Source organism: Homo sapiens, chromosome 3 (genome assembly GCF_000001405.40).
Source record: "Homo sapiens chromosome 3, GRCh38.p14 Primary Assembly".
In the NCBI taxonomy this organism is placed as follows: Eukaryota; Metazoa; Chordata; class Mammalia; order Primates; family Hominidae; genus Homo; species Homo sapiens.
The window spans coordinates 31,140,209-31,152,724 of NC_000003.12; the positions used below are offsets into that span (position 1 = coordinate 31,140,209).

Sequence of the window (12,516 nt, forward strand, 5' to 3'; positions counted from 1 at the left end):
TCATAGAATGTGATCCAAGATAGGAAAAAAATCTTAAAATCACAAAACTCAATAAACATAAGCAAAAGCATTGACAAATTATATATTAAAATTAATATCCATTCATCATAAAACACTAAAAGTACATAAAGACAAGCACAAAGCAGGAGAAAATATTGCAACATACATATGACAAAGAAATAATATTTAGAATACAAAAAGAATTATTCAAAGTGATTAAAAAAACAAAAAATTTAAATGGACAAAAGACAGATACTTCATACAGAAAAGAATTACAAATAGCAAATAAACACAAGAAAAAAATGTTCATTACCAATGAAGGAAATACAAATTAAGATCATAAGATATCATTTTAGAGTGGATTGGCAAAAATTAGGAAATCTGATAAGTGTCCTAAAGGAGATGAATCATGAAAACTCATGCACTTTTTGACAGAGGGTAAATAGAGAGACTGTGGCAAGCAATTTGGCCCTCTCTTGTAAATTTGAGAATTCACATATCTGAAGACACAGTTATTCCTTGGTTGGTCATACCCTAGGGAAACTCTTGCACATGTATAACAGGATACAGTAACTAGCATGTTCATAACAGTATTGTAGCAAATAAGGGAATAGCTAAAACTGTTTGCAAATAAGAGATTGGATAAATTGCAGAATATTCACACTATTTCTAATGTGACAGCATTAAAAATTAAATGAACTACAGATATAAATAACTATAGGAATAAATCTTAGAAACATACTGTTAAGAGAAAAAAGCAAGAACTAGAAGACTTAATACAATATAATACCTTTATAGGCATATGAAAGCAAGCAATGACATACACAATGTCAGCCCACAAACAAGCTCATATCCATATGTGATAATAGTATCTAAAAAATAAGCAAAGGGTCTTATAAACAAAATTCAAAATAGTGATTATCTCTGGGGCATGCGGCATGTGGCAGAGTGAGAAAGCATGGAAATATACACAGGCAGATTCAATAGTGTTGATAGTATTTCTAATTCTTCACTTGGGTTGTGAGTACAGCACATGTGTTTATTATTATGCAATGTAGCTTACATATATATTACATACTTTTTCAAAATGAGAGATATAAATTATCTGTACCTGCCTATTGAACAATGTGAAAGGAAAATCTTGGAGCCCCAAAATTACTATGCTAAAGGGAAAAGTCAAGATGGGAACTGCTCAGGGCAAACCTGCCTCCTTCTCTGTTAAAATCATCCCTCTGCTGAGACAGATGCATGTATGATTGCCTCCTTTGTAAAGGCTTACAAGAAACTCAAAAGAATGCAACCACTTGTCTCTCACCTACCTGTGACCTGGAAGCTCCCTCCCTCCTTCAAGTTGTCCCTGCCTTTCTAGACCAAACCAATGTACTTCTTACACATATTGATTGATGTCATAAAAAGTATAAAACCAAGCTGTGCCCCGACCACCTTGGGCACATGTTGTCAGGACTTCCTAAGGCCATGTCACGGGCGCGTGTCCTCAACTTTGGCAAAATAAACTTTCTAAATTAACTGAAACCATCTCAGAAATTTGGGCTTCACAAGAAAGTTTCTGCAATAATGCAACATGTCACTCTTCTAAAATCCACGCCAGCAAAATATCTGCTTCATTTGCTGAACCTCCTCCAATAAACACATCAGAGTGAGGTTGGAAAAGATGCTTAGCAAACGAATCCAAAGCATCCACCACACCTGCTATCATCACTGTTGTGCAACATGATACTGGAGGTGCTGTTAAGACTGGAAGAGAAAACAAGTAGTCATCATTTGGAAATTATATGATCAATAACATAGGAAACTCAAGTGAATGAACAAACTATTAGAACAGCTAAGTTGAAAGAATTTTACAGCAAGCACTCACATACCCACCACCCAGAACCTACCACTAATATTTTACTAGGCTTTATTTATCATATGTCTACCCCTCTGTCTCTCTATATTCATCAATCTTAATTTGCATTTCAAAGTAAATTTCAAACTCAGTGTGTATCCCCCTTTCATATGTTAATGTAAACCAAAAATCAAATTCTAAGTCCCTTAGCTAACTGAACAGACACACCCACTTGTCCAAGGAGTGAAAAACCTGAAAAACTAGTTCAGACCATAATGGGAAGGGAGGTGGGACATGCCTTATTACACTCTCTCCCTTTGGAGTTTAGGCACAATTGACCAGCATTAACATTAAAATAGAGATCAGATAGTAGGACTGACAAAACAGACTCTGTAGCAATAAGATACCCAACTCCAACCTGACCCTGGTATAACATTACTTGAAAGATAGTAGGCCCTAAAGGAAATCAAAGTATTTTACCCCAAAATATATTTCTTTGGCATATTTTGAAATGGCCCTGCAAAGCCATCTCTTGTGGAGGAAATTCACAATTTGTAAAGAATCCCGTTCCTTTTCCAGGCTTTTTCTTGACCCAGAAGAGATTGAACTAAGAGTCTGACAGCTTTTTGGGTCCCATAGGAGATATTTACCATCTATTCCCTCCGAAGCCTGCTACCTGGAGGCTTCATCTACATAACAAGAACCCTGGCTTCCACAATCCCCCTTATTTTAACTGAAGCATTTCTTTCTGCTGCCTTCACTCTTTAAGCAAAGCTTAATTTTTCAACCAATTGCCAATCAGAAAATCTTGGAGTCTACCTATGACCTGCAAGCGCCCCTGCTTCCAGATGTCCCACCTTTCTAAGCCAAACCAATGAATACCTTACATGTATTGATTTATGTTTTGACCTGTAACTTCTGTCTCTCTAAAATGTATAAAACCAAGCTGTAACCCAACTACTTAGGGCACTGTTTGTCAGGACCTCTTGAGGCTGTGTCCTGGGCCACGATCACTCATATTTGGCTTAGAATCAAACTCTTCATATATTTTACAGAGTTTGACTTTTTAAAATCAACATTAGTATGCATATTATTAAATTGAATTGAGTAGTTTTTTGCACGTTTTTCATTTGGGGTAAAATGCACATGAATACATGTAATGCATGCAATTAAATGCATAAATCCTAACTGCACGTGCATCAAATTTGACAAATGCATACACATTTGTAAACCAAACTTTTATCAAGATGTAGAACATGACCCTTCCTCACCAACTCTTGCCCCCCATCACAGTCAACCACTGTTCTGATATTTTCACCATAGAAAAATTTGCCTATTCTAGAACTTTATGTACACAGAACCAGACAATATATACTTTATTGTATAAGATTTCTTTTACTCAAAATAACATTCTTAGAATTATTCATATTGTTGCCTGTATCAGTAGCTCATTCCATTTTATTGTTGAATAGTGATTTGTCGTATGGATATACCATAGTTTGATTATTCTCATATTGATGGGGATACCTGGGCTGTTTCCAGTTTAGAGTTATTGTGATTAAAATTGAACATTCTTACATGTCTTTTTGTGAAGATATTTAATTTCTCCTGGGTAAATACCTAACAGTAAAACTGTTCTGTCAGAGGATTAAGTATTTAGTTAAGGGTTTCATTTGATAAGAAACTGTCAGATCTTTTCCAAAATGGTTGTACTATTTTATACCCCCAGCATTTTGTGGTTGCTCCGCATCACCAACACTTTTTACGGTCAGTTATTTTAATTTTAGCATTTGTTTGTTTGTTTGTTTGAGACAGGGCCTTGCTCTGTCCCCCAGGCTGGAGTGCAAGCATAATCACAGCTCACTGTGGCCTTGACTTCCCAGACTCAAGTCATTCTCCCACCTCAGCCTCCCAAGTAGCTGCACTACAGGCACAGGCAACCATGCCCAGCTAATTTTCTGAAGTTTTTTGGAGAGATGGTCTTTTGCTTTGCTGCCCAGGCTTGTCTCAAACCCCTAGTCTCAAGCAGTACTCCTGCCTTCACCTCCCAAAGTGCTTGGATTACAAATGTGAGCCACTGTGGCTTGCCTAATTTTAGCCATTCTGATGAATGTGGTTTTAATGGGCATTTATTTGATGAATAATTATGTTCAGTACTTTTCCATGTGCTTATTGGCAATTCAGTATCCTTTTTGTGACATGGCTGTCACATGTTTGTGACATCGCTGTTTGCCTTTTATCATTAAATTACAGGCATTCTTCATATAGCCTAGATACCACTTCTTTGTCAGGTATTTATCTTGTTACTTGCTATTGGTCTGTCAGGTTTTGGGTTTCTTCCTGGTTCAATCTTGGTAGGATGTATGTGTCTAGGAATTTGCCCATTTCTTCTAGATTTTCCAGTTTATTGGCATACAATTGCTCACAGTAACTACTAATGACCCTTTGAATTTCTGCAGTATCAGTTGTAATGTCTCCTTTTTCGTTTCTGATTTTATTTAATTGGATCTTCTTTCGTTTTTTTCTTAGTCTGGCTAAAGGTTTGCCAATGTGTTTAAATTTTCAAAAAAACATCTTTTTGTTTTATTGATTTTTTTTTGTAGTGTTGACTTCATTTCAAATTCATTTATTTCTGCTCTGATATTTATTATTTCTTTTCTTCTAATTTTTTATTTGGTTGGCTCTTACTTTTTTAGTTCTTTAAAATGCACAGTTATATTGTTTATTTGAAGTTTTTCCTCTTTTTGATATAGACACTTATAACTATAACATTCCCTCTTAGTTCTGTTTTCCCTGTATTCTATAGGTTTAGGTATGTTGTGTTTCTATTTTCATTTGTTTCAAAATTTTTTTCAAATTCTTTCTTAATTTCTTCATTGACTCACTGGTCATTCAAGAACATATTGTTTAGTTTCCATGTATTTGTATAGTTTCCAAAATTCCTCTTGTTATTGATTACTAATTTTATTCCATTGTGGTCAGAGAAGATGCTTGATATTATTTCAACATTTTTGAATGTGTTAAGACTTGTATTGTGATCTGACATATGGTCTATCCTTGAGAATGATCCATGTGCTGAGGAAAAGAATGTGTATTCTGTAGCCATTAGATGAAATGTTCTGTAAATATTTATTAGATCCATTTGGTCTATAATGCAGACGAAGCCCATTGTTTTTTTGTTTATTTTCTGTCTGGAAGAGCTGTCCAATGCTGAAAGTGGAGTAATGAAGTCTCCAGCTATTATTGTATAAGGGTCTACCTCTCTCTCTTTATCTCTAATAATATTTTTATATATATTTCTGGGTGCTCCAGTGTTGGGTGCTTATGTATTCACAATTGTTATATTTTCTTGCTGAACTGACCCCTTCCTCATTATACAATGACCTTATTTGTCTCTTCTTATAGTTTTGGTCTTGAAATCTATTTTGTCTGATGTAAGTACAGCAAATTCGGCTTTTGGTTTCCATTGTCATGGAATATCTTTTTCTATTCCTTTATTTTCAGTCTATGTGTGTTTTTATAGGTGAGGTGTGTTTCTAACAGATCAATGGGTCTTATTTTTTCATCCATTCAGCCACTCTATGCCTTTTCATAGAAGAGTTTAGCCCATTTATATTCAATGTTATTATTGATAAGTAAGGACTTACTCCTGCCATTTTGTTATTTGTTTTCGGTTGTTTTGTGGCCTTCTCTTTCTTCTTCCTTTCTCTCCTGTCTTCTGTTAGTGAAGGTGATTTTCTCTGGTGATATGATTTTGTTTCTTGCTTTTCATTTTTTGTGTCTCCATTGTTTTTTGGTTTGAAGTTACCATGAGGCTTGCAAATACTATCTTATAACCCATTATTTTAACCTGATAACAACTTAATGCCCTTTGCACAAACAAACATACAAGCAAAAAGAAAATGAGTAAAACTCTATGTCTTAATTTCATCACCCTGCTTCTTAACTTTTTGTTGTTTCTATTTATATTTTATTGTGCTATGTTTTGAAAGGTTGTTGTAGTTAGGTTTTTTTGTGTTTTATTTCATGACTACATGACAGCAGTGTAGTTATCATGTTTGATTTGTTTATTATTTAGTCTTTCTACTTAAGAGTAGTTTACATACCACAGTTATAGTGTTATCATATTCTGTACTTTTCTGTGTATTTACCATCACTAGTGAGTTTTGTACCTTCAGATAATTTCTATTGCTCATTAATAACCTTTTCTGTCTGATTGAAGTACTCTCTTTAGCATTTCTTGTAGGACAGGTCTGATGTTGATGAAATCACTATGCTTTTTTAGGTCTGGGAAACTACTTCTCTTACAGGTTTGAAGGATATTTTCACTGGATATACTATTCTAGGGTAAAAGTTCCTTTTTTCCTTCAGCACTTTAAATATGCCATTCTCTCTTGGCCTGTGTCTTAGTCTGTTTTCACACTGCTGATAAAGACATATCTGAGACTGCTCAATTTACAAAAGAAAGATGTTTAATAAATTCACAGTTATATGTGGCTGGGGAGGCCTCACAATCATGGCAGAAGGTGAAAGGCACACCTCACATGGCTGCAGATAAGAGAAGAGAACGAGCATCAAGCAAAAGGGGTTTCCCCTTATAAAACCATCAGATCTCTTGAGACTTATTCACTACCATGAGAACAGTGTGGAAGAAACTGCCCCCATGATTCAATTATCTCCCACTGGGTCTCTCCCACAACATGTGGGAATTATGGGAGCTACAATTCAAGATGAGATTTGGGTGGGTATACAGCCAAACCATATCATTCCACTTCTGGCCCTGCCTGAATTTTATATCCTCACATTTCAGAACCAATCATGCCTTCCCAACAGCCCCCCAAAGTCTTAACTCATTTTAGCATTAACTCAAAAGTCCACAGTCCAAAGTCTCATCTGAGACAAGGCAAGTCCCTACTGTCTATGAGCCTGTAAAATCAAAAGCAAGTTAGTTACTTCCTAGGTATAATGGGGATACAGGCATTGGATAAATACACCCATTCAAAATGGGAGAAATTGGCCAAAATGAAGGGGCTAAAGGTCCCATGCAAGTCCAAAATAGAGCAAGACAGTCAAATCTTAAAGCTCCAAAATGATCTCCTTTGACTCCATGTCTCATATCCAGGTCATGCTGATGCAAGAGGTGGGTTCAATGGTCTTGGGCAGCTCTACCCCTGTGGCTGTGCAGGGTATGGCCTCCTTCCTGGCTGCTTTCATGGGCTGGCATTGAGTGTCTGAAGCTCTTCCAGTCACACAATGCAAGCTGTTGGTGGATCTACCATTCTGGGATCTGGAGGATGGTGGCCTTCTTCTCATAGACCCACTAGGCAGTGCCCAGTGGAAACTCTGTGTGGGAGTTTCAACTCCACATTTCCCTTCCACACTGCCCTAGCAGAGGTTCTCCATGAGATGACTGCCCTTGAAGCAAACTTCTGCCTGGACTTCCAGGTGTTTCCATACAACCTCTGAAATCTAGGCAGAGGTTCCCAAACCTCAATTCTTAACTTCTTTGTACCTTCAGGCTCAACATCTTGTGGAAGCTGCCAAGGCTTTGGGTTTGCACTCTCTGAAGCAACAGACCAAGCTGTACCTTGGCCCCTTTTAGCCATGGGTAGAGTGGCTGGGAGGCAGGAAACCAAGTCCCTAGGCTGCACACAGCATTGGGGCCCTGGGCCCAGCCAATGAAACCATTCTTTCCTCCCAGTCCTCCAGGCCTGTGACGGGAGGGGCTGCCACAAAGGTCTCTGACATGCCCTGGAAACATTTTCCCCATTGTCTTGACAATTAACATTTGACTCCTCATTACTTATGCGAATCCCTGCAGCTGGCTTGAATTTCTCCTCAGAAAATGGGTTTTTCTTTTTTTTTTTAATTATACTTTAAGTTTTAGGGTACATGTGCACAAGGTGCAGGTTAGTTACACACGTATACATGTGCCATGTTGGTGTGCTGCACTCAGTAACTCATCATTTAACATTAGATATATCTCCAAATGCTATCCCTCCCCCCTCCCCCCACCCCACAACAGGCCCCAGTGTGTGATGTTCCCCTTCCTGTGTCCATGTGTTCTCATTGTTCAATTCCCATCTATGAGTGAGAACATGCGGTGTTTGGTTTTTTGTCCTTGTGATAGTTCACTGAGAATGATGGTTTACAGCTTCATCCATGTCCCCACAAAGGACATGAACTCATCACTTTTTACGGCTGCATAGTATTCCATGGTGTATATGTGCCACATTTTCTTAATCCAGTCTATCATTGTTGGATATTTGGGTTGGTTCCAAGTCTTTGCTATTGTGAATAGTGCCGCAATAAACATACGTGTGCATGTGTCTTTATAGCAGCATGATTTATAATCTTTTGGGTATATACCCAGTAATGGGATGGCTGGATCAAATGGTATTTCTAGTTCTAGATCCCTGAGGAATCGCCACACCGACTTCCACAAGGGTTGAACTAGTTTACAGTCCCACCAACAGTGTCAAAGTGTTCCTATTTCTCCACATCCTCTCCAGCACCTGTTGTTTCCTGACTTTTTAATGATCACCATTCTAACTGGTGTGAGATGGTATCTCATTGTGGTTTTAATTTGCATTTCTCTGATGGCCAGTGATGATGAGCATTTTTTCATGTGTCTTTTGGCTGCATAAATGTCTTCTTTTGAGAAGTGTCTGTTCATATCCTTTGCCCACTTGTTGATGGGGTTATTTGTTTTTTTCTTGTAAATTTGTTGGAGTTCATTGTAGATTCTGGATATTAGCCCTTTGTCAGATGAGTAGATTGCAAAAATTTTCTCCCATTCTGTAGGTTGCCTGTTCACTCTGATGTTAGTTTCTTTTGCTGTGCAGAAGCTCTTTAGTTTAATTAGATCCAATTTGTCAATTTTGGCTTTTGTTGCCATTGCTTTTGGTGTTTTAGACATGAAGTCCTTGCCCATGCCTATGTCCTGAATGGTATTGCCTAGGTTTTCTTCTAGGGTTTTTATGGTTTTAGGTCTAACGTTTAAGTCTTTAATCCATCTTGAATTAATTTTTGTATAAGGTGTAAGGAAGGGATCCAGTTTCAGCTTTCTACATGGGTTTTTCTTTTCTCTCACATTGTCAGATGGAAAATTTTCTGAACTTTGATTCTCTGTTTCCCTTTTAAAATGGAATGCTTTTAACAGCACCCAAGTCACCTCTTGAATCCTTTGCTGCTTAGAAATTTCTTCTGCCAGATACCCTAAATCATCTCTGTCAGGTTCAAAGTTTCACAAATCTCTAGGGTAGGGGAAAAATGAAACCAGTTTCTTTGCTAAAACATAGCAAGAGTCACCTTTACTCCAGTTCCCCACTAGTTCCTCATCTCCATCTGAGACCACTTCAGCTGGATTTCATTGTCCATATCATTACCAGCATTTTGGTTGAAGCCATTCAACAAGTCTCTAGAAAGTTCCAAACTTTCTCACATTTTCCTGTCCTCTTCTGAGCCCTCTGCACTGTTCTAAACTCTGCCTGTTACCCAGTTCCAAAATTGCTTCCATATTTTTTGGGTATCTTTACAGCAGCGCCCCACTCTACCAATACCAATTTACTGTATTAGTCCATTTTCATGCTGCTGATAAAGACATACCTAAGACTGGGCAATTTACGGAAGAAAGAGGTTTAATGTACTCACAGTTCCACATGGCTGGGGAGGCCTCACAATCATGGTGGAAGGTGAAAGGCACATCTCACATGGCAGCAGACAAGAGAAGAGAATGAGAATCAAGCAAAAAGGGATTTCCCCTTATAAAACCATCAGATCTTGTGAGACTTATTCACTACCATGAGAACAGTATGGGGGAAACTGCCCCATGATTCAATTATCTCCCACCTGGTCCCTCCCACAATGAGTGGGAATTATGGGAGCTACAATTCAAGATGAGATTTGGGTGGGGACACAGTCAAACCACATTTGCCTGTAAAGTTTCCACTGAAAAGTCTGCTGCCAGATGTGTTAGAGCTCCATTGTATGTCTTTTGTTTTTTTCTTTTGCTGTTTTTAGGATCCTTTCTTTATCCCTGACTCTTTTGAGTTTGATTATTAAATGCCTTGAGTAGTCTTCTTTGAGTCAAATCTGCTTGGTCTTCTACAATCTTCTTGTACTTGGATATTGATAGCTTTCTCTAGGTTTGGGAAGTTCTTGGTTATCATCCTTTTGAATAAACTTTCTACCCCTATCTCTTTATCTACCTCCTCTTTAAGGCCAGTAACTCTTAGATTTTCCTTTTTGAGGCTATTTTCTAGATGCTGTAGACATGCTTCATTGTTTTTTATTCATTTTTATTTTGTCTCCTCTGATCATGTATTTTCAAATAGCTTGTCTTCAAGATCATTAATTGTTTCTTCTGGTTGATCAATTATGTTCTTAAAGGACTCTGATGCATTCTTCAGTATATAAACTGCATTTTTCAGCTCCAGAATTTCTGCTTGATTCTTTTTATTTAAGTCTGTTAAATTTATCTGATAAAATTCTGAATTCCTTCCCTGTGTTATCTTGAATTTTTTGAGTGTCCTCAACACATATATTTTAAATTTTCTGTCTGAAAGATCACATATCTCTGTTTCTCCAGGATTGGTCTCTGGTGCCTTATTTAATTCATTTGGTGAGGTCATGTTTTCCTGGATGGTGTTGATGCTAAAAGATATTCATTTGAGTTAGATATTTAGTGTAGCCTTCACTGTCTGGGTTTATTTGTACCAATCCTTCTTGGGAAAGCTTCCCAGATATTTGAAAAGACTAGGGTATTGTAATCTAAACTCTATCTCCTTTAGGGGGTAATCCAAGCATTTAGGGGGTAATGCTGTGGCTCTTGTAGACTCATAGGGTATCACTTCGGTGGTCTTGGACAAGATCCAGAAGAGTTTTCTGGACTAGCAGACAGACACTCTTACTCTGTTTCTTACTTTCTCCCAAACAAACAGAATATATCTCTCTGTGCCTGTTCTGAGCTACTTAAAGCTGGGGGTAGAGTGTAGCCACCACCACTATGACTGCACTGGGACAGACCTGAAACCAGCACAGCACTGGGTCTCACCCAAGGCCTGCTGTAACTATTCCCTGGCTACTGCCTATGGTTATTCAAGGCCCTGGAACTCCATAATCAGCTGGTGACAAAGCGAGTCAGGCCTGTGTTCTTCCTTTCAGGGTGATGAAGTCCCCCCGACCTTGGCTGGGTCCAAAGGTGCCATCTGGGATTTAGGAACCATAGAGGTCAAAAACCTTAGATGTCTACCTGGTGCTCTATTGTACAGCAGCTGAGCTGGCACTCAAACCACAAGATGCAGTCCTCCCACTCTTCCCTCCCCTTTCCAAAGACAGAGGAGCATCACCCCAAAGCCATGCCATCCCAGGCCATGAGGAGTACTACTAGACTACTTCAGATGTTCTTTTAAGGCCCAAGTACTCTTAAATCAACTTGTAGTGAATACTGCCTGGCCTGGGACTCACCCTTCAGAGCAGTGCACTCCCCTCTGGCCCAGGGAAGGTCCAGAAATGCCAGCCAAAGGTCAAGTCCTGGAATTGTGGACCCCAAGAGCCTTGGTGCTCTACTTCCCTGTGACTGTGCTGGTACCTGAAGCTGGTAAATCTCAGAGGCTCACCCAAGGCCCTCAACATAGGACCTGAGCATAACTACCAGTTGTTCAGGGTCCTAGGGCTCTTCAGTTGGAAGGTGATGAATGCTGCTAGAACTGAGTCCCTCTCATCAAGGCAGCAGGCTCTCTTTTGGCCAAGATGTGTCTAGAAATGCCAGCTGGGAACTAGGACCTGGAACAGGGGCTTTATGACTCTGACCAGTGCCCTATCCTGCTGTGCCTGAGCTGATATCCAAGATGCAAGACAGAATCCTCCTTACTCTACCCTCTCCTCTCCCCAAGTGGAAGGAAGAAGTCTCTTCTGGAGCCACAAGCTGTGCAGCCTGGGGTTAGAGGAGGGGTGATGCCCCAGCTGGTTTCTCAGTATGTCATTTACTCCCCCACCCGGCCCCGACCCCCACAATGCCAGTCCACTGTCTCTGGGCCCAATTCAGCACTAGAACTTGCCTAAAAGTTGCAGTCTTTATGGCCTAGACTGCCTTTCAAGTTTACTTGGACACACAGAGCACTGGAGCCCTCATTGTTGAGGTTTGCAGGCACTCCAGTTTGGACTTCTGGGATTGGTGATTCCAGGCTGTCTAAGGCTGGGTGAAATGTTCCCTCCATGGGTGGGCATCAGCTGAGTTTGGTCTGGTTTTCCTTTCTTCTCTAACACAAGAAGGCACTGAGTTCAATGCCTCACAGTTGCTGTGTTCTCTCTCCCCCAGTGCCCAGAGAAGCTCTCTGAACCACGTTGCCACTGTTGGGAGTGGGAGAGGGGTGGTGTTAGTGATTCAGGACTGGTTTTTTCTATCTCTTTGGTCCCACTTTCAGCCATATGAAGTCAAAACCAGATACTGTGGATGCTCACCTGATGTTGGTTCTTATAAAGATTTTTTCTTGGCCGGGCGTGGTGGCTCACGCCGGTCATCCCAGCACTTTGGGGGGCCAAGATGGGCTGATCATGAGGTCAAGAGATCGAGACCACCCTGGCCAATATGGTGAAAGCCCGTCTTTCCTAAAAATACCAAAATTAGCTGGACGTGGTGGCACGTGCCTGTAATCCCAGCTAATCAG

At 39.5% G+C, this 12,516-nt stretch overlaps 1 annotated feature.

Annotated features, from left to right (window-relative positions):
• Window positions 1,987–2,552: an enhancer, noted in NCBI's record as "NANOG hESC enhancer chr3:31183687-31184252 (GRCh37/hg19 assembly coordinates)". NCBI's record gives its function as "activates a minimal SCP1, AML or CMV promoter by ChIP-STARR-seq in naive H9 embryonic stem cells {active_cell/tissue: H9 hESC(naive)}" and the evidence as "EXISTENCE:reporter gene assay evidence [ECO:0000049][PMID:30033119]".